Source organism: Homo sapiens, chromosome 8 (genome assembly GCF_000001405.40).
Source record: "Homo sapiens chromosome 8, GRCh38.p14 Primary Assembly".
NCBI lineage: Eukaryota > Metazoa > Chordata > Mammalia > Primates > Hominidae > Homo > Homo sapiens.
In genome coordinates, this window is record NC_000008.11 from 72031312 (window position 1) to 72059049 (window position 27738).

Sequence of the window (27738 nt, forward strand, 5' to 3'; positions counted from 1 at the left end):
TTTACATCTGTAATCCCAGAAATTGGGGAGGCTGAGGTGGGAGGATCACTTGAGCCTAGGAGTTCCAGACCAGCCTGGGCAAAATGGCAAAACCCCATCTCTACAGAAATACAAAAATTAGCTGGGTGTGGTGGTGAGCACCTGTAGTTACAGCTTCTGGGTAGGCTGAGGTGGGAGGATCAGCTGAGACTGGGAAGTGGAGGCTGCAGTGAGCCATGATCACTCCACTGCACTCTAGCCTGGGTCACAGAATGAGATCCTATCTCAAAAAAAACAAAAAAACAAAAAAAAAACAAAAAAACAAAAAACAAACAAACAACAAAAACTAACCCCAAAACTAACCATTTCATACCTGCTGCTTCACATATTTTAGATACATTTTTGGGCTCTGAAGACATTTGAGCTTATAAGCCATAGAAGAGATGAATTATTAACTTTTGATGGTCACTAACATTTATCAAATGCTTATCATGTGCCAAGTACTATTTTAAGTCCCTTGTATTAGCTCATTTAATCTATACAATAATCTAGGAAGTAGGTTTTATTATTATTAAATGTTTGTATCCTCAAAACTATGGTAACACAAGGAAAGAACATCCAATAGAGTTAGTTAATTGGAGAGGGGTGGTGGTTAAGGAAGTCTGACCTGAAGAAATGATACTTCAGCTGAGTTTTGAAATCTTAGAGCTAACCCATGGTGGGACGTTTTTCAGGCAAAAGGAAGAGCCTGTACAGAGTCTAGGCAGCATGAAGGAAAGTGTGGCACAATCATGGAGTGTGCATTTCTGGGTAAATCCTGGGAACAGTGAGGCGTTGGGAAAGATCTTGGTAAGATCCAGCTCACAGGGACCTTTGCTTGCTATGCTGATGGGTTTGGACTGAATTAAAGCTTTTGAAGAGGCATGGAAAATATTTTTAAAAGCCACTGATGTGTTCAGTTTTTCATTAGCAGAGCATCACTATGGTGGCCATTTGTAGGAAAAATTAGACAAAGCAGTGTGATACGATAGAGATGCTCTTGAGGCTGCTGCAGCAATTTGGATGAGGAACTATGGCAGTCCAAGCCAACCGGAAGCAGATGTGACAGCCAAAGAATTATTGAAAGAACTGAGGAAAAACGTGGGAGAGTGAAATAGAGACTATCTGCCAATGATCTTAGTAGGATGACTAGGAGATTCTACTGAGAGGCAGTGGAGATTCTGAAGGAAAGATAACATTAGTCTTGGCTCTGTTGGTTTTGATTTTCCTCCAGGATATCCAGGTAGAGATGCACAGCGGGCGCTGGATGTTTGGATCTTCAGAATGGGGCCAACCTGTACTACTGCTAAGCCCAATTCTCTTCTGGATAATTATCTTCCAAAGCATAAACAATTATTGGAGAACAATGTGGGCTTTATGTCATTCTCCGTTATTCCTATTGCCATCCTTTCTTTTTCTAGGTCACCAAAATAAAACTCTGGAGATGTATCAAATAATTGAATCAAAATACTCACACATCTGCATAATTTTTTTTCCTTTCCAAAAGCACTGCCTAGTACAGTCTCTGGTACATAGTCAGACTCAGAGAAATTGTGTGGAATATGTGCATGCGTGCATAAATGGATAAAGGAAAAACAGGCACAACGATGCCAATAAGGGCTCCCCATGGACCTGGAATGGGATGCACCTTTGCCTGCATCAGCCAACGTGCTCATGCCTTGAGCAGATTCTGTAGAGAATTCCATGTGGAAGGGCACTCTAATGTCTGCTGATAGTGTCTAGGCTTTGACTGGGTTCAAGGCGGCATCTGAACGTCGCAGATGCCCTCTGCATGAGAGACTTCCCCACTTGAATCTCTGGTCAATGGTAAGTTCGAGCATAGAGATATGTTCCATAAAGGTCTCTGCCTAAACTCTGACCCCCTCTCCAACTCCAAAACATCACACACCTTCATCTTTATTGCCTTTCCCTGCTTCTTATTTCTTCATAGCATTTATCAACCCCATGACATTATGCTACACAGTTATTTATTACCTAAATTCCTGACTGTTTGTAATCACACTGAGACTGAATATTGGTCTGCTTTCTTCATCACTGGTTCCTAGAACTTGTAACAGTTGCTGGCATTTGGTAGATCCTTGGTATTTGCCAAGTGCATGCATCTTTGCACGCCCTGAGCCTCTTGATGTGCCTGGTGCTCCCCAGGCACCAAGTGAGTGTTGAACGAATAGATTTTGTAGTAGATCCTTCCTGATCTCCCCAGTGGAGGAAGATTAAAGAAGTTAAAAATGATTATCATTATAAAATGTTTCAAATGATCAACAAACAGAAAATATAAGAAAAAACTACTTACAAGTAAATTCATGAGGACAATTGGGACAAATATTGTGAAGGAAACAAGTTGTGCAAAGGACAGAACTGGATGTGCCAATTCATTTCTCAGATATGGTTCTAGGAAGGACTCTCGATAATTGATATCTCCTAGCATCATGCTGAAGGTCTGGATTATAGAAAGCAATGGAGAGCTGAAGGGATCCTGAAAGCAGACGGTGAGGTACAAATGAAATGCAAAGTTTCTACAATGAAAAAGTGTTTCCTGGAGGTAGAATGATAAAAACTATATTCAGAATACTTTTTTAAAGTCATAGGCATATAGCTGTTGAAATGCAGTGATAAAATATAGTAAACATGGTAAAGTCATCAAAAATATGTTATCTGCATAAATAATAAATCATCTGTGTTGTACATAAACTTTTTGACAATGGACAAAGTTGCTTAACACGACTATACTTTTTTCTGCAATAAACGTCATTTGAAAGATATAGGAGATAAAAACTAAAGTATTTGAATACTGTTGTTATGTAATTATGCATTTTCTAGACTATTTAGATTTAAATATAAATATATATTTCCATAATTCACAGCGACAAAATCAACTACTGATGTAACTGTCTTACCTGTAAATTCAGGAGGATGTAAAAGCTGAGTCCAAAAGCCAGAAGAAGGAAGATAAATACAACTGTAGACCTCAACAAAGTTTTCAAAATTACCTCCAACATAACAATAAAAATTCCACAATTTTCAAATCTAGAAAAGTAAAAAAAAAAAAATTTACTCACTTTTATAGTCAAAGTGTATTCATTCAGTGACAATATTTATCATGTATTAAACCAGGTATTAGATTTCACAGATGAGATCACTGAGGCCAGTTATTTTGAAAAAGAAAACATAAGAATTAATTGAATAATCATGTCTTAATTTTCAAGCTGTTAGTCAAATTACTTTTGCTTTTATTCTCATTATTAATGTTATCTATTTTTTGGATACAGGGTCTTGCTTTGTCACCCAAGCTGGAGTGCAGTGGGGCAATCATTGCTCACTGCAGCCTTGACGTCCCAGGCTCAGGTGATCCTTCTGCCTCAGCTTCCCGAGTAGCCGGGACCACAGGCAGGCATCACCCCCAGGCTGATCGTGAACTGCTGGGCTCAAGCATCAGCCTGCCTCGGCTTCCCAAAGTGCTAGGATTGTAGGCGTGAGTCACTGTGCCCGGCCCTAATGTTACCTTAAATCATTTTACCACTTGACAACTGGACATTACTTCAACTGAAGTAGGAGAGAAAAATAATAGCTTCTCAATATCAAAGAAAATGCTGCCAAATGCTTAATAAAGAAATTAGAGAGATAAATTGTGTGCTGCATCATGCAGAGACTGAGTTTGTGAACTGGAAGTCACCTAATGCAGGGCACACACTACATGATTTGCATTTTATCCTCACCATCTCCTTCGGTTTTCTTTTCTACCCCCTGCATCCTATATTGTGAAATGTTTGGATAGATAATGGGTGTGTCATCTGGCCTCTAACTTGTAGTCTGCCTTTGACAAAGATGACTTATTAAATGAGGAACTTACAAGATTCTAAAGCTGAAAGGGACTTCAGCGAAATTCACAGAGACATATATAGTGACTCAGCAAGGCCACTAATAATGACAGAGCCAAGGGTGTGACAGTGCCTGAACCTGTCTTAAATCCTATTTCTGGGCCACTGCCTTTCTCACCATACCACGTACTCTCCAAGGGGCGGCACTCAACTCTATCACTGTGCTTATGACACAGCAATGCAGAAGATATATGGTGAAAAAAACATGCTTCCTGGAGTCAGAAAGACTTTGGGTAAATACCTGTATCCTGACTGACTAGCTGAGATCTTCAGCAAGTTACTGAAATCAGTGCTTCAGCTTCTTCTTTTAGAGAATGCAGATAATAACATTGGCCTTGTTATTGGAAAGATTATGTGAAATAACATGAAACTCAACATTACCAACTGTCAGAGGCCCGGGAACTCAGGCTTTTTTCCCTGTCTAGAATTAGATTCTTTGGGCTTATTTTTTCTTTTATACCACTTCAATTCCCCATACTATCCATCAGTTCATTTTGAGTGTTTTAATTCAAAGTAAATGCTTACAAAATAATATCAGGTAAAACAAGAATAGCCAATACTTTTAATATTTACTCCCCCTGTTTAGTCCAGATTTGTCTAGACCAGTGTTCTTGACCTGGGCTCATTTGGCACACAGGGAACATCTGGCATTGTCTGCATTCATTTTTGGTTGTCATAACTGGACTGGGGTGGATGCTACTGGTATCTAGTGGGTAGAAGCCAGGAGCCAGGAATGCTGCTAAGCAATTTACGATATACAAGACAGTCCCCCTCCACAAAAAAAAAAAAAAAAAAAAAAAAAGAAGAAGAAGAAGAAGAAGAAAAAAGAATTATCTGGCTACAAAGTTCAATAGTGCCAAGTGTGAGAAACCCTGATCTTCATTCTGAACTCTGGAACCATGCTCCAGCCTTTCCTTAATAGGGTATACAAAAATTCTTCATATTTTGAAACAACTGGAAAAGGAATAAGCCAGTTTTAAATTTACACCAGGTACAATAGTTTTTCTTTTGATATTAAAAATGCTTAAAGGATGTGGAAATAATTCAAGCTTGTTTTACCTTTGAAGATACAATAAGAAATTCATCCAATAGAAGTAAACAGCAATTGCTCCACATTGCCACTGCAGATGAGCTGGTATTTCAACAAACAAGGGCAGCACAAAAATGATGCCCGTCGTGTAGATAATCCATTCAAGAACATTGCTTATATCCATAAAATAATTCCTTTTCTGGGATAGAAAAGAATAAAAAATTACCACATATAGAGACCTAGCATCTATGGATGGTTATATACATGCACCCCGTAATACAATTTTTCTAGCTTTGCAGCCAGCTGGGGAGAAGTTTAGGACCAAGGAGTAACCTCACGCCATCCTGGATTGACTTCAGAGTCCCCGGGGTATGAATCGGTGTTGGAGATGGCCCAGAGCCCTCTGTTAACCTGGTGTTATGGGAATCCGACGCCTAAGGAAATCCTACAAATTGCTGGGCTTTCCCTGTGGAGTCCACTCCATCTTAAGAAAACTTCTTGGGGACTGCAAGTTGGTTCAGTAATTCCTGGGGCCTTTCTATCCGTATAACAACATGAATGTGGAGCTCTCTTTATGAACTAAAGTTGTTTCTAAAAAGGTTTGGGACATGCACTGAGACTTAATTAGGAAATAAAAACAAATAATAATGGTATTTTCAAACTTTTTATGTATTGGTCATTAAATTTCCTATAGAGTAGGCCACTTAAATATCAATAAGAAAATGTGGAGATCAAATCTGATAGAGAATTCATATAACTTTATAGCTCAATTTAAACTATAATCTGCAATTTTCATTTCTGGAAAATGAAAATAATGGCAAGAAAGATTAAGTAATGTGCCTTAAATCGTTTAAGGTAAAATGCAACATTACAGTCTATCAGAATTGTGACAAATTTCTTAATGTACCTATATGAAAGTACTTGCAATGTATAATATTTAAAAAATGCAAACCATTATTATCAAATTTATAAATGCAAATATCTATGTGCTTACGTGATGCAACAAAGAAAATTTTCACAGAAAGTGAGGTGTTGTATAAAAGACATATGATTTATAAAAATAATATTCATGAACATATACAAAAAAATTATAAAGACTTTCAACCTCCATACTGAGAAAAGAAGGATCAACTTTTGCCATTTATCAACCAAAGGTAGGACCTGCAGATAATTTATACACTTGGTTCTGATCTGAACTTGGCTCACTTATTTAAAAAGTGGAATATAAAGTAAAAATTTTGCTGTAAAAAGTTCCAAAATTGTATTAAAACTTGGAATTTTATTTAATCAAAAAAGTATTTCTGTTAGAAAAGGAATTCAAAGAAAGACCCATTTGAAATGGAGTCTTGGGCCAGATAACTTCTTTATAAACATTTACATTTAAAATTATCAAGTTCAAAATGTAACCATTATGTTAGCAAAATCTTTAAAACTATGTAAGAGAAAAGAAAGTTCACTCATAATGACCATTTGTAGTTAGATGTTTAAGGACCAGTAAAAGTGGAACATCTCTTTCATAGATATATCAAATAGGCAGGGACCTTACCTAAAATCATGTGATTTCTACATTTTGAAACATTTATGCTTGGTGTTTCTAATCTATATGGTAGTCAAGCTATGTAATTTTATTATGACATAATATCTCAAGTAATAGCTTATCAATTAACTTATGTTCTGCATATGAAAATATGTGCAACTTTAGAGATACAAAATGTATTACATACCTGTTGGAAAATTTGCCCCGCTTCTTTGCAATACCCAAATATACTTGATAAAAACACTAAAATCATACAAGTTTTTATTAGATATGAATTCTAAAACAAAAAAGGATAAGACACATAGTTATGAGAGATATAAAACACTTTAACATTTCCATAATTTTCACTATTAAATTTCTTTTTTCTTTTTTTTTTGCTTAATTTCTATATACTGTCCACTTTGAGTTAAACAGAAAATTTAACTGACACCAATACTCATATAATTTACTAGAGATGAACACACCCTCATTTAGGAATGTCCTTATTAAGTGAAGTTCAAAAATTGCTAATTGAATTAAAAAAGAATATGAATCTGTAGGCCAATATAAAATTATTTATTGTGGCAAAATACATATAACAAAACTTACCATTTTAAAAGTTACATTTTACATGTACATTTTAAAATATATAATTCAGTGGCATTAAGTATATTCACAGTGTTATACCACCATCACCGTTATCTAGTTCCATAACTTTTTCATCATCTTGGATGGAAACCACATATCCATAAAGCATCTCTCCCCATTTCCCATGTCCCACAGTCCCTGGCAACTACAAATCTGCTTTCTTGTACACCTATTTTAAAGTTTTACACTTCAGTATTTAAGCTAGCATCTAACACATGTCAATTCTTTTTAAATTAGTTTACAAACTCATTAGTTGACCTGTTTGTTTATATTCCCTCTCCTTCCACAAAGGATTTTAGGAGAAATTATTACTGTATACAAATTCTTACAGGCTATTTATAATAAAGTCCTGATATGTCAGATTTATTATGGGTTTAGTAGTCTTAAGAAAAAATACATTTTTTATAATCCTTTATTTTAGAAAGTTAAAATTTGAAATTACCGTGGTATCTAGTATTTCTGAATGATCACTAGTTTCATTGATGATGCCAGTTGAGTTGAAAGCCATTCCTGGTTTTATATTGACAACGAGAATGGTCATAGGTATGAGACCAAGACAGTAAGATCCTAAATTCATCATATGAGCTCTAAATCCATAAGCCAACCTACAAAAATATAAGCAAACCAGAATTGAGTCATTTCAAACAAAAATATTTACTTAAGATACCTGGGGAAAAAATGGTTATAACCTCTTTCAGAAACCTTGTTGGTAAATTCACTGAAGCTTAAGATCAAGTAAATCTTCTAATTCACCTTTTTCATTTTCAGAGAAGGAACCTCAAGTTCTAAGCAAATTACGACTTAACAAATTAATGAAAGAGCCAGGATGTTAGCCCATATAATCTGTCGGCAATATGAGTGCTCTTCCTAGAACACACCTCTTTCTTCATTGTCAGCTAAATTTCAGGGTCCAGGATATTTCTACATGTTCTATACAATGATCCTTTCCATGCCCCCAAATATTTCATTTAATGTTAAAGATAAATTTTAGGCTCTAAAGAGCTTCTTCATGTCTTATATAATAATTCCCTCCCACCCTGCAAATATTTTATTTAATGATAAGGATAAACAATGCCAGCATTTTTTTTAACCTTAACTTCTTTTTATTTGGTCTTTTTCACTTTATTTTATTATTATTATACTTTAAGTTCTAGGGCATTTGCCTTACTTATTTCTTCAAAGTAAAAACATTAAAATAACAAAAGCTAAAACATTAAAATACCATTACAATATAATTGTTTTGAAGGCTTTGTAATAGATCCAATAGACACAGCATTAAACAAGAAATACTACTCAATACCCACCATTTCATGAGTAAATATTCTTTACACACAGGATGATTGAGAAGCTCTATGCGGTTATTTTGTACCATTGCCTGAGAAATAAAAAAAAGTGTAATAAAAACACAATCATAATCAACTACTGAGTATAAACTAATCTATTTATTGTCTGGTTTTATAACTGTGTTTGGTATTGTAAAAGTAACACCTATTTTAGAACATTGAAAAAAATAAAAATTAGATCAAGGTTTTAAAAAACACAAATTAGAGATAACCATTTTGTACAGGTAAAATTGTTTGATTCAGTCTGTTTCTTTAGATTTCTGACTACTTAACCTAGCATAAGCTTTTTAATCTTATACAGGATTACAACAGGAAAGGACATTAAAGATAAATTAGCAAGAGTTATACCCTCATTGTGTCCTTGAAGAAATTCAGGCTTATCTTTCCAGAAGGATTTTATGCAGTAGAATATACATACATAGTTGTTCAATTAATCTAGATCATAAGTTTTCATTAGAGTTATTTGTGACTACTAGTATTTATTTAAAAATTAGTTTTTAATTATTCAAGACATACATAAATAGAGGGACTGATGCCAACAAGGGAGCAAAATAGGAAGTCCCAGGCCCTCCTTCCTCCATAGAGATATGGAATTGAAAACAATACACAGAACATTTTCTTTGTGAGCAATCCCAAACTTAGTTAACGTGTTTCTGTACCCAAGGTGAGCATGTAGCCAAAATCAACCATATCAAAGACAGTAGGAAAATGCATGGCCTTTACATGCCACAGATCCTCCGTCTGGCAAAGCACAGTGCCATTGGGAGAAAACTCCCAACTCCTGCCTTCTCCCTGGAAAGAGAAAGAAAAGAGTGGAACATATCCACTAACTTCTGACTTCTAAGGGGCTGCCCAAGGGAATGATTTTTATCTTGCCTGAATCTAAGCTCTGACATGAATGGGTCTCAGGAGGGGACCACTGATAACAAAGTAGATCACTGGGTCTTAGTCTAGCACCAGAGAAGATAGAGTGTCAACAGACAGATCCTAGGCAGTGTCCCAGTATCATGACTTGCTACAGCATCAAAGACACAGGGAAAAAGAGACAAAAAGTCTACCACATACTGAAAGCAATTAACAAAATGGCAATAGTAAGTCCTTTCCTGTCAATAATTATTTTAAAGGCAAACTGGTTAATCTCTCCTATTAAAATACAACGGTTGATTGAATGGATAAAACCCAGGATTCAACTACATGCTCTTTACAAGAGACTCACTTTAGATATAAGAACACAGGCTGAAATTGAACGGATGGAAAAAGATATTCCATGCAAATGAGAACCTGAAGTGAAAAGAAACAGCCATATTTACATCAGACAAAATAGACTTTAAGACAAAAACTGTGAGAAGAAACAAAGGACAATATATAATGATAACAACGTCAACTCACCAGGAAGATACAACAATCATAAATATATACCCACCTCACATTAGAGCTCCCAAAAATATGGAGCAAACTTAGAACTGAAGGGAGAAATAAACAGCAACACAATAATGGTAGGCGACTTCACTATCTGACTTTCAGTTATGGATAGAACAACCAGACAGAAGTTCAATAAGGAAACAGAAGACGTGAACCACAGCATAGATCACTTTACCTAACAGACATACACAGAACAGTTCACCCTATGATGCAACAGAAGAATAGATATTCTTCTCAAGCACACATAGAACATTCTCTAAGATAGACCACATATTAGGCCATGAAGTATTAAAACATTTCAAAAGATTGAAGTCATATAAAATATCTTCCTCACTACAGTGGAATAAAACTAGAAATCAAAAGTAGAAGGAAAATATGAAAATCGAAAAACCTGTGGAAGCTTAACAACTCACTCTTAAACAGCAAATAGGTCAAAGACAAAATAAAACAGAAATTTAAAGTACATCTGGAAACAAATGAAATGAAAACATAATATACCAAAATGCATGAGGTACAACTAAAGCAATACTAAGAGGCAAGTTTATAATGGTAAATACTTATGTTATAAAAGAAGAAAGATTTTAAATCCATAATTTAACTTAAAACTCAAGGAAATAAAGAAAGAAGAACAGACTAAACCTAAGATTAGCAAAATGAAGAAAATAATAATGATTAGAGCAGAGATAAATGTAATAGAGAATAGAAAAACAATAGAAAAAAATCAATGAAACCAAGAATTGGTTTTTTGAAAAGATAAACAAAATTAACAAAATTTTACTGACTAATTAAGGAAAAAGGAGAGATGATTTATCGACTATGACACCAACAGGACAGGCAACTAAAGCAAAAGCAGACAAACAGGACTATATAAAGTTAAAAATTTCTTCAAGTCAAAGGAAGCAATGACCAAAGTGAAAAGGCAACCTATGGAATGAGAATAAATATTTGTAAATCATATATCTTATAAGGAGTTAATATCCAGAATATTTGAGGAACTCCTACAACTCAACAAGACAATAAATAACCCAATTGACAAATGGGTCAAGGCTGTGAATAGGCATTTCTCCAAAGAAGATACATGAATAGTCAATAAGCACTATTGTTTATGACTATTGAATGAGAAGATGCTCAACATCATTCATTATTAGGGAAATGCAGTTTAAAACCACAACGAGATACCACTTCGCATCCGTTAGGTTGGCCACTATCAAAAGAACAAAAAATAACAAGTATTGGTGAGCATGCTGAGAAACTGGAATCTTTGTGCACTATTGGTGGGAATGTAAAATGGAACAGTCATTATGGAAAACAGTATTGGGGTTCCTCAAGAAATTAAAAATAGAATCACCACAGGATCCAGCAAGCCTACTTCTAAATGTGTATATGAAGAGTTTAAAGCAGGATCTCAAAGAGATATTTGTATAATAATGCTATAGCATTATTCACAATAGCCAAAAAGGGAAAGCAACCCAGTGTCTTCAACAGACAAACAGATAAGGAAAATATGGTATATACATACAATGGAATATTATTCAGCCTTCAAAAGAAGGAAGTCTTGTCACATGCTCTAACATGGATGAACCTTAAGGAGATTATAGTAACTGAAATAAGCCAGTCACAAAAGTACAAATACTGTAAGATTCCACTTTATATGAAGTACCTAAGGTGGAGAAAAATCACAGAAACAAAAAGTAGAAGGGTGGTTGCCAAGGGCTGGGGGAAAGATGATGGAAGTTACTGTTTAATAAGTATAGAGTTTCAGTTTTGCAACATGAAATAATTTTAGACATCTCTTGAGTAACAATGTGAAAATACTTGACACTACTGAACTATGCATTTAAAAAGAGTTAAGACAGTAAATTTAACTTTATGCTTTTTACCACAAGTAAAAAAGAAGAAATACCCAGACAAATTCTCCTTTAAAATACTGGAACATCGGGATAAGGCCATAGTTCTCACCACACCTAAGCCTCAGTTCTAGGCAGGCCTCCATTTCCTCAATAGTATCATCATTGCTTACTTGTACATCCTTCCAAATCCTTTTCTATATTTCTACACAGAAACACCCATGTTCAAAAACTCAAACGTAGTTATAGAAAAAGGGATAATTATTTTGTATTTACGTTTTTACTCAAATTATGTCTTCAATTTGCTTATTTATTCAACACAGCCTAGAAACATATGAATGTTATATAAAGATTCATCAAGAACATTGTTTTTAAATATTGCTTAATATTTCATCATTTGGATATAGTAGTTTATTAAGACCTTCCCTTATTTATAAATATTATTATTGTTTCACATTTTATAATTAAAAATGATGCAGCCAGAATGGTCTTCTTAGCCCTTGGGGAAGTTTTTAATTTTAATTTGATGAGTTACAGATTTCATTTCTAGAAAATTCTCAGACATTATCCTTTCAATTTTCTCCCTATCTTTCCATCTCTTTTTAAAAATGTCCATCTTTCGGAAATAACTGTTAGATAGAAGTTGGAATTTCTGTTTTTAGCTTCCTTGTATTAACTTTGATTTGATTGTACTTTCCAAAATTATTCACCAAACAACTTATAGGTTTTTGCACTAAACACCCACTTACATTTTGAAAAAGCCTATACTATAATTTTCATCAGCACTCTATTACATTTTTTCAATTTTAGTATTCATAAAAATCTTTTAGAAGCTTATTTAAAATTTTGATTATTAGGTCTACCCTCAAGCATTCTGGGTTAGTAGGTCTAAGATGGGCCTTAGGAACCTTCATTTTAACAAGAACCACAATAATTCTGATTCAAGCAGCCAGAGATTCCAGTTTAAAAACTACTACTGTGACACCAACAATGGAATATTTCCAGGTTCACCATTTTTCTTTTCTATTTATTTTTACCCCAACCATTTGAAAAGTAATTGAGATATATTTATATACAATAGTCTGGGGGGAATAAAAGAACCCCTTGCAAATATTCATTATCAATTGGATGCCCAGTGGAGCCCGAAAAGCTATATATCTAGCTATTCTTGGGAAAAAAAAAAAAACTGGCAAGATCTAGCTATTGTTTTTGAGACCTCATCTAAACTTCCACGTAGATTTGACTTTTTTTCCATTTAAAATTAATGGTTTCTTCAAGCTAAAATAAAAAATATGGAAAAATATTTGTGAGAGTAATTCAGAATGTTACTATTAATATTTTTAAAACACCATACTAGAAACACACACAGATACTTGTTTTCAATGTGCTTTCATTAAAACAATCCTCTTACGTTTCTGAAATCTTGTAACTCTGCTTTTAAACTAATAACAAATACAGAAAACCTACCCCTTGAGGCATGCAAGTACATTGTTAAGTTTAAATATCACCCAAATAAAGTGTAAATAAGACAAAGTATCCAATGCATTTGTAGCTATGCTAATGGATTTTCCACAGTAGCTCTACTCTTGCATGCACCATTAATGAAAATAGCCTCTCACTGGCTCCAGTTTGTCTTAATCTCAGTGTCTGATTTCTTATGTTCTCTATTTGGTGCATCTAGACTTTCAAATTTTCTGTGCACAGTAATTTCTCATCAGGCCAGTTACCTTCCTAAAGAGCCCCACTCAGCTCACTTACAACTAAAGGAAGGTTTCATAAGCTATTAAGGCATTGCAGAATCAGGTGCTGTTTTGATATCTAGTACATTGCATTTATCTAAGTGAACCTATTTTATTTAAATTATACTTTGCCCATTGTTATATATTGTCTTTCTTTTTAGATGCTACATAGATCTTATTTCTTCCTATTCTTATTCTGATAATGGAGACAAAAATAGATACATTTTTTTCTGATAGAAGTATTGCCTATTTTTAAAATTAGAATTAAAAAACACATACATATGCAACAAATTTTCTAAGTATAACTGTAGTGTAGTTACTGTTAGATCACTGGGCTATTGATTATGAACTATACTAATAGCAAAACACAACATACTCAAGGAGAGCTAAAGCGCTTACAGCAATGGTTAGTCAGTTGCCATCACCAGTGTTAAAGGCATAAAATCCCCACGAGTCTGCATTCTCCATACTCCAAGTGCTCAGTAAGCCTTGTAGGTTTAACTTGGGTGACGGCTGCTACCATGGTCTGTACCAAAGTCTTCAATTTAGGGAAATGAACTCATTGAAGGTGAATAAAAATTCTTCATTGGCCTAGAGCAGTGTCGTCTAATAGAACTTTCTGCAATGACGAAAATGTTTTCTACCTGTGCAGTGCAATATGAGAGCTGCAAGCCAAATGGGCTACTGAGCATTTAAAATGTGGCTAGTGTTACTGGAAAACAAATTTTTAACTTTATTTAATTTAAACTAGTTTTTAAGTTAGGAAGCCACATGCAACTATTGGTTCCCATACTAGATAGCCCAAATCTAGACCAAAATTTGCAACTCCAGTCCTCAAATATGTTTTGTTTTACATGCACACAATTTTAATTTGTTGCCAATATTTACACAATTGTGGGCTGCTATTGCCACATGGCAATGATTTGTTGAAGCTAGTAGCCACTGTCCTTTTAACCAGAAGCCTAAGTTACTTGGCTGTTACTGTTTTCTCTGTAGTTATTTCAGTTTGAGACCTTTGATTTAGACTACAGGGGGTCAAATGCATTATTTTCATTGCTTCATTGGCTAGAAACATAAAAGCATCTTTTTAAATAATAGCTACTTTTTAAAAGGTTTCTTGGGAAATTTAAGTCTATGCTGTGTCTTAAAAGCCTGCTTCCAATGGGGTTCATTCATCTGGAATCTAAGATCTAAGAACCTCTGAATGGTCAGAGTTTACCTTGGAGCCCAGTGGCTAGCTGAACTTAGAAGCTGTGGCTGTGAAATATCACCCCTTGCATTTTCCTGTGGTTTACACAGGAGAAAACTCTTGAATATGTAGGTGGATAGAGGTGGCAAGCAAGTGTTACCTGTGTTGTCCATGGTTTATTTGATTCTGGATTGGAGCAGTTCTTATGTGACCATTAGAAATGAAGTGTAGAACTTTATAGCAATTGAAAAAAAGGATTGCTTTCTTTATTAACAAATAAAGGTTTGAGTCACATGGAAGATATAGACATAGAACTATAAAACTGTAATTCTCTCCATCCATCAAGTATTAAAACATTTTAGACTATTGTATCAAAACATTTTAGAACCCAACTAGAAACTATTTAGATAATGAGATGGCTGGGTCAAATGGTATTTCTCATATGTAACTAACCTGCACAATGTGCACATGTACCCTAAAACTTAAAGTATAATAAAAAAAAAAAAAGAAAAAAAAGAAACTATTTAGATAATGAAAACATTGAACTTACGTTGAGGGCTGTAAGCGGTTCATATATAACATCCTGTGTAGGTGTTTTTTTGGTGAATTCTAATGGACATTGAAGATATTTGAAATTATACTCGATCTGTAGAAGACAGAATTTTTTTTAAAAAAATGTACAGTTAGTCAAGTATAGAATCCCCAAAGTAATTCTTGAAAAAATCAAATACACAAATTTACAATTCTGCTGAAAATTAAGTGATTTGAACAAAGTTGAGTTATTTCAAGTGGAGAAAGGAAATTAAGTTATTGCATATTAATTCTAAAAATAAATATCCTGGAAGCCTGTTATTCAATTGCTTTGTATCTCATAGGCATGGAAAGAGAGGAGTTCTCAAAAGATCATTTAGATCTTTTAGATCTTCATTATTAAGGCACAACTACTTAAGAAAACATAAAGACTAGAAACAACACTAAATGATGCTATTAGAAACTATTAAAATATTCGGGGAAAACTGAGAATGTAAGGGAAAAATTCTCTCACAAGTAGATAATACAATAATATGACAAATTAGATCAATACCATCTGCAGTAGATTACAGATCAATAGTAACAATATTTTTAATATTTTTCAAAGAATTATAACAAAATAAATTTCAGATAATGATGATAAAATAAACTTACATAATAGTCTCGGCAGGACTTGTCTTCTGTGGAATGCAACATGCAGAAATCTAAAAGTACCTTTGAAAGAGAAAAACCAGCTAAGATATTGGGGCAGTACACTACATATTAGGAAAGATTTTATCCTATTTCTGAAATAATACACAAGACATTCCCTTTCCTTTCCTTGGTTTCTTGCATCTCAAGAATAAATTATAATCTATGTCATTCAGGAACAAAGTTTAAAATACAAAATGTTACAAATACCTCTGCATGCCTCAGAAATACCAGTGATTCAGAAAAAATACCATGTACTTGAGAATAAAATTGCATGTACTAAAATCTAGGCAAGAGATATTCCACTAGTTGTGCCTAAGATTTGATGTCTTTCTGGACTTTTAGAGGATATATAGATTACAGGTTGAGCAATCCTAATCTGAAAATGTGAAATTCTAAACGCTCCAAAATCCAAAATGTTTTGAGCACCCACATATTTCCATAAGTAGAAAATTCCACACATGAGTACTTAATATAAACTTTGTTTCATGCACAAAATTATTAAAAATATTATATAAAATTACCTTCAGGCTATGCTTTTAAGGAGGGTATGAAACACAAATGAATTTTGTATCTACACTTGGATCCCATCCTTATGATGCCTCATTATATATAGGCCAATATTCTGAAATCCAAATCATTTCTGGTCCCAAGAAGTTGGGATAAAGGATAGTCAATCTGATTCCTTTGCTGGGTACCTTACTGTGACAACTTATTGTTCTTAATCAAGATTTTTCATCCCAGCAATGGAGTCTTTCTATGGTTTAGTTCCCATCTTCTGAACTGCCCCAGTCTGGAGTAATGTGTTTGCTTCTATACCTCATGTGCCAAGCAACACGGAGAGAGTATGTGTTTAGAGGGGGGTGGACAGGATGGTGGGGGATAGATGTTGTAATGAGAAATAGATGAAGACTCTCTAGATACTTAACTCAGGGAAAGAACACTTATGGGGTCAATAGAGCCACCTCTATGGTGTGTGGGAACAACTGTTTTTGTGGGGCTGCATAAACAATTTGAGACACCTCAAATCTAGTGGTCCAAATTTATGGTCCTGAGAAAGAAATATCACCTAGCCAGGCTGCCCTCTTGGAACCAGGACTAGACAAAATACCCCATATGGCCCCATCAATGCATCTAGGACCTCCTGGGGCATCTGGTGAACCTGTAGAACTTGAGGGTAGAGGGTCAGACTATATCCAGAAGGGAAGAAACAGGGCCATGGCTGGTCTCAGGTACCAAAGGGACTAAGAAAATTACAAGGAAGTCTCTGTTGGTGACTAGATAGCAGTACTGGAGGTCACAACAACCATCATGAAAAATAAAGACAAGACTAGCCAGTAGTGCTGTGCAAGGCAGAAACAGGCAGGTCTGGTTGTTATAGTTTGAAAACTGGATAATAATCAACGTGTGCAAAATAAAGGATGGGCTGTCTTGGGTGGGGGCTGGGGAGATTTCAAGAGCAACTTTTCAGAAATGTTGTATAAGTATTTCAAATGCATTATGTCCGGCTAAATTAAGACATGTAAGTTCATTTATTTTGCTGAAAAGTAGTCACAATATAAAAGTAATTAAGTCATTATAGAAAATTACCTAGAAAATATAGTAGCATAAAGAAGAAATTAAAAACTAATCCTAATCCTATAACAGATAATTCTTATTAACATTTTGGTATAATTTCGACTGTTTACTATGTTTCCACATGTGAATATTTCAACATTGTTTTACAATTATAAATAATGTTGCAGGAAACATTCTGTAAAAATCTGTATCTCTGATTATTCATCAAGACAGATTTCAACAACTGTAACTACAGAATAAGAAAGTTTGAGATTAGGTATTTATGTGTCCTTTGATGAGATGTAGGCACCTAAAAAGTTAATCTGTATGCCATTTGTGTACTGGACTGGCTCCAATTTTCATTAGGCATCATAAAAAAACCGTCCAAAATATTTGGTGCACAGGAAGTCCTTGTTCAATAAATAAAGAACAATAAGTGCTAGTAGTACTAATAACCACATAAGCAGCACAAAAATAGTAGGAGGTATATTATGTACAAACCATTATCCTTAGCACTTTATACATTTTACCCCTACTTTTGTAATCACTTTGTAAGATCAGTATTAGCATCATTATTTTAGAAATAGAGAAAACAGAAAATAATGCTCAGAGAGGTGAAATGACTTGCCTAAAACAACACAGCAAAAGGCAGCACCAGGATTAAATCCCAGGACCTCCAGAAGGCTCCAAATCTGGTCTTCTATTCCCTGTGTCATTATATCTTACTGCCTCCTCCAGCATTTGTATATATTTTTCCTTTGCATGACATCTGAAGTCATTCTGCCTTTCTTGGTTATTCTGTCTGTCCCAACCCTCAAATCCCAACTTTCCCAGATTGCTTATTTGCATCCTTTAATACTCATCTGCTCAACAATTTGTGCATGTTTGTCTTGTCTGGGGTGTCCGGTCATATGCTAGTGTGTATTTAACGTAGCAAAAGGGGTCACATGTTTAAGAACCCACAGAAGCCAGGCAAGTAATGTAAATGAAAGAACCATGCCAGGCATAAGAGCTTTTTTCCATTGTTCTTGAGATGTTGGCTATACTTGGGCAAGCTTTTATCTTCACAGTTTGGATAAAGTCATAATTCAATACTTCTCTACTATAAGGAAAGCAATTGCATAAGAATGACAATATGTGACAACTAGGCACTGGAGCCCAATATACAAAAGGGAGAGGTGGGGCATTTTATTTTATTTTTTTTTTTAATTTTTATTTTTTTACCATACCTTAAGTTCTAGGGTATGCACAACGTGCAGGTTTGTTACATGTATACATGAGCCATGTTGGTTTGCTGCACCCATTAACTTGTCATTTACATTAGGTATTTATCCTAATGCTATCACTCCCCTCTCCCCCCACCCCACGACAGGCCCCGGTGTGTGATGTTCCCCACCCTGTGTCCAAGTGTTCTCATTGTTCAATTCCCACCTATGAGTGAGAACATGTGGCGTTTGGTTTTCTGTCCTTGTGACAGTTTGCTCAGAATGATGGTTTCCAGCTTCATCCATGTTTTTAAATAGGAGAGTGATTGTCCCATCCATGGGAAGCAGCTGGTGCTGAGCCCAGCAATTCCTGCCTTGTGAGAAGGCAGGCCCAGGTACAAGATCTCATTCTTATGAGAAGCTAGATATTTGGAGGAAAATATAACTGGAAGAAACCAGATACCTTAAGGAAAGCATCCTGGTTTCAAACATTAGCAATTCATGCACATTTGAAACAACAATAGCATGCATGCCAAGCGAAACATATACAAAAGCTTTACCAGCCAACAAACACCAGTTTGTAGTCTCTGTTACAGGTGTAGATTATTTAAATAAAAAATATTTTACCATATTATTCTCTATTACATATAATAACTAATAGGATTCTTTAATCCAAGAAGGCCTTCCTTAAATAGTTATTGTCTCATTTCCCTTACAGCCTATGGAAAATGAGAAGCTTTGTTTAAAGCTGGAAATTATTATTATTAGGTTGTGATTACAACAACATATGTCAAGCATAAACCCGGGAAGAATTTTGTTTTAGAGAATTTACCTTCATGCATTCAGGGAGGTATTCTATCATTTCTGTAATTGGACATTTATTGCCTGGAGAATTATGACTGAAAATCTTAAGACATTCATCCCATCTGTAAAAAATAAATAAGTAAGATAAGCACAGGTCTTCATCCTTCTGTTCTGTACAACAGCTGAAACTCAAGATTATTTCTTTAGGGGAAACCTAAACTTAAGCATATTCATGAAATGCAATGCTCACCCTTGGTTCCAATGGAACCAACATGTAAAGCAAGATCAACTCAGTAATAGGATCCTTGCCCATTAATGGACATTAGGAATGTGGGCAAATTTCAGGATGGCTATTATAATCATTGTTCTGTCTCTTTATCTAAATGCCATTCAAAGAAGCTGGGACTATATCTTCTTTTTCTCCTGAAGTTATGAAATGGTCAGTACTTACAGAGCTGACCACGTTGGGTAGAGATTCCACATTCACATGCCTACACCATCAGTGTAGTACTGGTCCCATATTTAATAACTAATACATGTGTACATCCTGTATTGAGTTAAACTACAAATTAACACATGTAAAGTGCATTGATAAGCATAGCCTCTGCCAGAACATTCCAGATTTTGCCCATTTTCTTCATCACCATCCAACTGAACAGGGTAAGACGGTGCTTACCATACCAAGGAGGAACTAAATCTATGGCAGGAGGCAAAGAATGGCCCATTATCTCCAAGATCTTATCTAATTTTCTGTTAAACTCTATCAGTAAAACCCATCTAGTATATCTACATTATCAAAAGAAAAGTTTGGATTGAACACTTTCATTAAAAGTGCTTTAAAGGGATGATCAGTCGGAGATTTTTTAGACTGCCCATGCTCAAAAACACAGGCTTGATGTGCCTTGAATATGAGATTGTTCGCTCTGTGTCCACTACTAGGTGACACTGGGCCCTCGTGCATAACTATCAGTGATTATTTTAGAAAGTGATATTATAAAGATATTATGAGAAGTGAGACTAACTATCCTCTAACTTCATCACTAAAATTCCTTGGAGTATGGTTTAGAAACCCACCAACACCTGAACCCCTGGAGTCTCACAAGAGTGATGTGAAGCTTGGTTTTATGTGCCCACATTTTATTTTTTAAGAAATATAAACTAAAGATCAGAGAGGTTAAGCAATGTGCCTGTTGTCATCCAAAAGAATTCATTTATAAATTTAGGTAGACATTTAGAAATAACTGAAGGAGTATAATTGGATTGTTTGTAACACAAATGATAAATGCTCCATGATGTGATTATCATGCATTGCATGGCTGTATCAAAGCATCTCATGTACCTGATACATATACACACCTACTATTTACCCACACAAATTAAAAATAAAAATGGCCAGGCACAGTGGCTCATGTCTGTAATGCCAATACTTTGGGAGGCCGAGGTGGGCGAATCACTTGAGCCCAGGAGTTTGAGACCAGCTTGGCTAACAAGGTGAAACCACGTCTCAATGAAAAATACAAAAATTAGCTGGGCATGCTGGCTCATGCCTATAGTCCCAGCTACTCAGGAGGCTGAGGCATGAGAATTGCTGAAGCCCGGGAGGCGGAGGTTGCAGTGAACAGAGATCACACCACTGCACTCCAGCCTGTGCGACAGAGCTAGACCTTTTCTAAAAATAAATAAATAAAAATAAAAAATAAAAAACCTTTAAAAAATTGATGTAAACAACTGATATTTTAAATTTTGATTAATGGCTGAAAATCATTTCTTTTCTCTTATTTTGTCTCAGACTTCAAATCATCCCAACACCAGAGAACACTAAATGACAGTGGACAGGAAGACAGTGTACCTTTTGCTCCTGATGATCGTAAGAACAACCTCCTTCCTCTTATTGTGAAGTGCAAGGTGCAAAAAGGAGGCCTGCTGCTTGTTCAGGACTATGTCAGCATTGTGGCTCAGAAGAAGCGCAACGGCTTTGGCGTGGCCTTCCCTTGCAGCAAAGTGAAGTGCAGTGTTCTTTTGAAGAAAAACAGACACAGAAAACGTGGTGACAGTGTCTAATCTGTCTTATTTCACTGCTTAACTGCTTAAAAGACATTAGCGACACTATTTAATACCAAAATACATAGCACTTAAAACTGGTGTTCAGAATCAAGCTTCAAAATAATGAGTTTATAGTTCTAGCATGGTGTGTGTGCATGTGTGGGAAGTGGATCTGTGTGTGTGTGTGTGTGTGTGTGTGTGTGAGAGATAGAGAAAGAGAGAGAGAGAGAGAGAGAGAGAGAGAGAGAGAGAATGAATTCCAAGGCATTTGTTTTGTGTTGCTTTTGCAATGGGATGATTCCACAAGGACAAAGGACAAGCTTTCAGGGTAAAGATGTTGGGTTGAACACAGAAGAAAATCCTCCTGAGATTGATCATTTGTAGAACAGTGGCTTACAGATTTGGGGCTTCACAAGCTTGTAAATGTTTTTTAAAATCAGAGACTGTTATAAGTTTGCCCATTTTTAGTTTCTCCACTTAAAGACTTTTTTTTTTTGAAAAAGGCAACAACAGTCTTCTATCCCCATCATTTTATGAACAAACGTACATTTCAAAAGTTACTCTCCCCAAAGGAAGGAAAGACATAATAGCACAATAAAGGGCAGCATTTCAAATCAATACACTTCAAAATAACACTTATCTTAATGAAAACTCACCCCTGCCTTCATTTCTCTGGACCTACCAGGGAGTAAACGCTTTACCATCAAATTTCATTGGCCTGTGGACCTCGCTGCTCTGTGAGACTGGAGGTTTCCCCAACATTCACCCACCCCTTGGTATTCTCCCAATTCTGTTGCCTTTTGATTCATACTTCACCTCAAGAATCCACTTGCTAAACACCCAACAAAAGGCTGGGAATAGAGCAAGGAAGGTAAAAGGTGTCTAGGAGAGTTTTCTGGCAATGTTGGAAGTTTCTGCTATATTGAGATTTTGGGTAAGCATGAGGACCGCAGTACATACCCCGTCTTCATCCAGGCGATCTGTGCACTTCAAATTAGTATCAAGAATGACCTTCATGGTCTGAGTGTACCCGCCCATGGACGCATGATGCAAAGCTGTCCAGCCATTGTGGTCACTGGTAAAGAGTTAAGAAAAGATGTGTGCATACACTTAACAGATGAAATGCGGGATGGGATGCCACTTGGCTTATTCTAGGTAAATCTGATGACAACAAAAAGCATTATTGAGATCTGGCAACTAAATATTTATAAAACATTTATAATAAATGAGCTAATTCCAAGCTCAATGATCTTAAATGACCTATTTCTAATGTGATTCATACACGTTTTTTACTTAGTGGTTTAAAATATGAAAGTATATAAACACATTACCAAACACTTTGGGGTAGGAGAAGTACGCTTAGCATGTCTGTGTCATACCTAATTTTTTTAAAGCTATAATGAACTGATACACATCAATTTAAATCTTGTTTTATTCTTTCAATGAACACTGTATCAAAATTTTTTTATGAAGTAATGTTAGTCTTTGTGGTCAATAGTTATTGGTAATACTACTAGTAATATGATACATGGCTATAAGATGCTTAGCTTAGTGTCAGTTATTATTCTAAGAGTTTAAATCTAAAAAGCTTCCCTCTTGTGCTCTGAAAAATGCTTACTCAATTGCTTTGAAAAATGTTTATCCTTTTCCACAGAAATTCAAGATGTAAATACAACAAAGCCTTGTCATATTAGCTATCTTTTTTCAAATTAGACAGAAAAAAATTCTTGACACTATTTAATTTCAGTGCTAGTGAGCAGATGTTTTAGGGTGCAAGAGCCATGTTGCTATTTCAGTTATGATGTAATTAAGCAACAACTGTCTGGCCTGGGTCTACTTCGGTCCCCTTTGCAGGTCAGTTGCTTGGTGTTTCTTTGTAAACCAGAAAAAACTGAGCAAAACATTCATTCATGTAGCTGTAGCACCAATTTGCTGGCATCAATATTATGGTAAGGAAATGTGTTTTTGAACATTAGCCTAATAAGCTCTTTGCTACTGCTATGGTAAGATATCAAATGAAAAACCTCTGTAAAACATTTCCAGGTTTTTTCTTTCTTATCACAATATCATTTAATTATGCCACATATTTTATTATACTTACATATTTTAACTTTGTTTCTTGTACTTGAGTTCATTTAAGTATAATAAAATTCAGAAATTTTTACCATCTCCTGTTGTCACTTAAAGGGAACTTTTTATGCCTACCATTCATCAGATTGAATGAAAAGTAGAGTATTTGAACTTGTATGTTTTGTGTGTGTGTGTACGTGCATACACACATACACAACCACAGTTTTGTATCTATATAGGAATATGGCAGCATGATGAGGTAAAATATGAGAAACTATGTTTCAAAGAAAGGTTCTGAGAAAGACTGCACAAAGCCAATTATTCTGTGAACAGAATATTCTTGAACAAGGTTCTTCAACGCTATAAACTTCAAAGTCTTTGTCAGTTGGAAATAATACTGACTTCCCTTTCAGTATTTTTAGAAGTTACATATGTTTTGATGAAAAAATAAATTGGATAAAAGTACTTAGTGAGATATAAAGTTAGACCTCATAATTAAAAATATAATGAAAAGATAGCCTGAAAATGGCTAATTAAAGAAATTATATAAACACTCCAATCATATATCCTCACCTGAGAAACAATGCACCTTTTTTCAGAAGAAGCTGAACTACTTTATCATGTCCATTCTTTGCTGCCAGATGGAGAGGAGTCATTCCATGAAGGTCACCTTCATTCAGAAGCCTCGTATCACTTATGTCTTGTAGGAGCCTCTGACAGGTATTGATACGCCCATAACTTGGAAAAAATTAGGTTTCATATTTTCAAGGCAAATATTAAACAGAAAGAAGACATGTTCATACATTGCTAGACTGACCCTTACCTGGCTGCAAAATGCAGAGGTGATTTCTTATCTTTGCTTTTGGAATGAATGGACACATTAAAGCCAAGTAGGTTATTTACAGAACCAGGGCCCCCCTGTCTACATGCATAATGTAGAGGAGTACACCCATCGTTGTCTTCATCCATTACCAGCTCTTTGATCTGTTGCATCTATAGGAAAAAATTAATATCATACAAATAACTCTGCTATTATGCTAATATGATGGTTTTCAAACTATTCTGTAGGAAAATATTTTCCAACAAGGGTCAATATGTATTCCTTGGGGCCAAAATTGTAAATAACCTAAAGGATTTGAGAGTAATATAAATATGAATGAAGTTGAATGCTCTGTCTTCATTTAGTGTACATTACCATATTAGTGTACATTACTGTATTAAAGGATCTGAGAGATCATGCCAATAGGAAAATGTACTTAACATTTTTAACTCAGCATTTTTCAAATATATTTGATCATGGCCCTTCCCTCTGCCCCTCCTCTTATTTCCTCCCACCCCCAAATAACACCCAACAGCTTCATGTTAATATGTTCTGTTAGGTAAAATGGATGGGATGTAAACATTAGGTTTATTTTATGTTTTATATGTATAGTAAATAAAAAATGAATGATAAATGAGAAGCTTAAGCCTATCAATTAATATTTTGTTATTTTTTAAATATTCAAACACATATATATTTTGATTATTAAATACTGGCAATATTGAAATCTATTGATGATAAAAATATGATGTATTTCACATACATGTGCTAGTCACTCAGTAAGTATTAGCTGGTGAATATAAATATAAAAATAATGCTTTCAACCTCTCCTCAGAAAGTCAAGTATGCTGAGTAATTTTTCTTAATTGATGGTGGAGTATTGATAATTCATTCTTATATTTGGCTTTTCCACTGATATGCAAATCATAATGGTCAAAGAATGAAGAAAATCAAACTAATTAAGGATGTTATCTTTATCATAGATGACTGCATATTAAGTTTCTTTGTAAGTTAAAAAACTCAGTCTCACTACAATTAATTATCATTGTCATAATCATCACCACCACCACCATCACCATGTTGTAACTAAATAGTCAAATATGTCATCTTTATTTTAAAACATTTTTAAAATTCCAGAATCAGTTTATATAATAACAAAAATTATAATAAACAAAATTAGTTTATTTTCTGTTGAACCCAACTCAGTTAATGGCAATCCACAGATATACATTACCTGCATAAATTCAGGTCGCAGATTTTTTAATCCATAAGGTTGCTGTACAGTTAAATGCAGAAAATTACGTCCAAAATTATCTTTTATGTCTACTTGGGCACCTAAAAAAAAACACTATGTAAATATAAATTCTATTCATTTATTTAAAGCAATGTTTACGTGGATTTTCAACTTAGCAAAAAAAAATTTGACTAAAAATATTGTCGACCTTTAGTTTACAGGAAATTGTGTTTAGATGAGAAAACTAAACATATTTAAAATCAGGTTTAACTTACTCTCTGTGTGTGTGTGTGTCTGTATGTGTAAGTGGGGTAGAAAATATGTGATGCATTACATAAATACATGAAGCCTTACCTTTTAAAGCATAAAATGTAAGTATAGACACATTAGAGATCAAGAAAGAAGAAGATAGCAGAGAAGGACACCTCGCTCCTTTGTTATCAGAGGCCCAGGTTAGAATCTAAAACAGGGAAAGTTATAGTACCTACACCACACAGGACTGATACATTGAAAGACAGTTAATTAAATGTTCAGCAAATGCCTGGGATATAACAATTGCTTTATAAATGTTCTCTACTATTGTTCTGAAATTATCTTTTTAAGTATGCTCCCTTACTGGACAGAAAATTATTCTAGACATGAAAACTGTTCTGTTTATTTTTAAATTCACAACACCTGGCCCAGGGCCTGGCACACAATAGATGGTGGCACACAATGAATGTTCATTTGGCACACAGTGAATGTTCATCCAACCAAATTGAGTGGCACTTCAAAAGACTTGGCTTGTTCCCTCTTGGTACCTTTAGAGAGTAGCAAATTTACAATATTCCAAGATGCAGAAGCAGTTGCTAATATAAGTGGAGAGCGTCCTTCAGAATCGATCTTATTAATATCTGCTCCCTAAAAATCAAACAAACCATTCAACAAAGAGCTTAGAAACAGATAAATCATAATATATTGTAATCTCTAACTAATGGTAATTCATTGATACAGAGTGTCTATATTATGGCTAGCACTGAACCATACGACTAGTTATAGAATTATTTGAAAGTTTCCCATAGTTCATATGTTGTATCATCAGAAATCAAGAAATTCGTTTATAATTTCAACAAGAAATTATTCTCACATATTAGGCTTTTTACTTACACCTGGCAATAGCTCTTGTTACCGCTTGAACCATAAAAATAATATCTTTTTACTTAGATCAAGTTTAGTTTCCACTGCAAGAAATAATTTTTAAATGTCTATAATTTTAAAACTCTCCCAAATTCATTACATATATGATTTAAGAAACATTTACAAAACACCATTCACTTTTTTTAAAAATCCTATTTTATTGGAAATAGATGAACTGAAATAATTGAATCGAAATCACTCAAATTCTAAAGTAAAACTTTAGCCAAACATTTATTTAAGAAAATTTATATTTAAAAATCACATTAAACATATATTTTTAAATGAATAAGTCAATGTTAACCATTACATATTATAATATTTGATATGACAAGAAATCAAAGGCCTTTTAAAATTTCATGGAAATAATCCTGTATTTTATATAGGGTAATAAAAAATAGCTTAAAATCCAAACGTGAATATTTCTTTGTTCTTTTGGGGCCCAATGAATATAGATGACAATGGGGGCAGCATCCCCTTGGCAAGCTCCACGGTCAGTGAGGCTCTGCCACAGTTCTCTTGCCTGGTGAAGAGATGGCAGCCTTTGCAGGAAACCATGCATGACTATGGTTTATGGTTTATGGCATATAATGCATAGTTTATGGCATATAATGAGTCTCCCCAGCACTCTTCTCTGTAATTATCATAATTTCAATAGTTATGATTGACAACACACACACGTTCAATACTACAAATGGAAATCCGTCATTGCTGATATGGTGCAGCTTACGTAAATTCACCATACATTCATCCGTATAAAGGGCATATTAAAATTCAACTCAAAAGCTGACTGATTCCACTTCCCAGAGTGAAAAAGATCTCATGCTTCATGCTTTCACTTGTAATAAATCTTTGACAATATTTTTCAACTCCTCAGTTTTTAAAGGTGGCACTGAGGCATCTGGGATAGGAGTTTCCCCCCGTGCTGCCTGTCCTGCCTCCACCTTAAAGCCACCAGGG

At 34.8% G+C, this 27738-nt stretch overlaps 1 protein-coding gene and 1 long non-coding RNA gene across 5 annotated transcripts in view, besides 1 other annotated feature; one reads left to right on the forward strand and one right to left on the reverse strand.

Moving 5' to 3' along the window:
* MSC-AS1 (MSC antisense RNA 1) overlaps positions 1-25001 on the forward strand; it is a 213190-nt gene extending 188189 nt beyond the window's left edge. For both annotated transcript variants that reach the window (NR_033652.1, NR_033651.1), the window contains one exon: positions 21228-25001. This is a non-coding gene — a long non-coding RNA (MSC antisense RNA 1). The remainder of the gene's footprint in view (positions 1-21227) is intronic.
* Positions 1-27738, reverse strand: part of TRPA1 (transient receptor potential cation channel subfamily A member 1) — a 68761-nt gene that overhangs the window by 10062 nt on the left and 30961 nt on the right. For all 3 annotated transcript variants that reach the window (XM_011517625.3, XM_011517624.3, NM_007332.3), the window contains 15 exons: positions 26406-26505; positions 25606-25706; positions 24375-24544; positions 24125-24289; positions 22442-22556; positions 21288-21454; positions 19467-19560; positions 15837-15896; positions 15202-15297; positions 8416-8486; positions 7554-7716; positions 6672-6761; positions 4977-5146; positions 2937-3066; positions 2333-2515 (listed from right to left, as the gene is read on the reverse strand). In XM_011517625.3, coding sequence (XP_011515927.1) covers positions 2333-2515; positions 2937-3066; positions 4977-5146; positions 6672-6761; positions 7554-7716; positions 8416-8486; positions 15202-15297; positions 15837-15896; positions 19467-19560; positions 21288-21454; positions 22442-22556; positions 24125-24289; positions 24375-24544; positions 25606-25706; positions 26406-26505 — 1875 coding nt within the window. The remainder of the gene's footprint in view (positions 1-2332; positions 2516-2936; positions 3067-4976; positions 5147-6671; positions 6762-7553; positions 7717-8415; positions 8487-15201; positions 15298-15836; positions 15897-19466; positions 19561-21287; positions 21455-22441; positions 22557-24124; positions 24290-24374; positions 24545-25605; positions 25707-26405; positions 26506-27738) is intronic.
* Positions 2114-3313: an enhancer, noted in NCBI's record as "BRD4-independent group 4 enhancer chr8:72945660-72946859 (GRCh37/hg19 assembly coordinates)". NCBI's record gives its function as "activates an origin of replication core promoter dependent on BRD2, P300/CBP, MED14 and CDK7 cofactors, and independent of BRD4, by STARR-seq in HCT116 cells {active_cell/tissue: HCT116}" and the evidence as "EXISTENCE:reporter gene assay evidence [ECO:0000049][PMID:35650434]".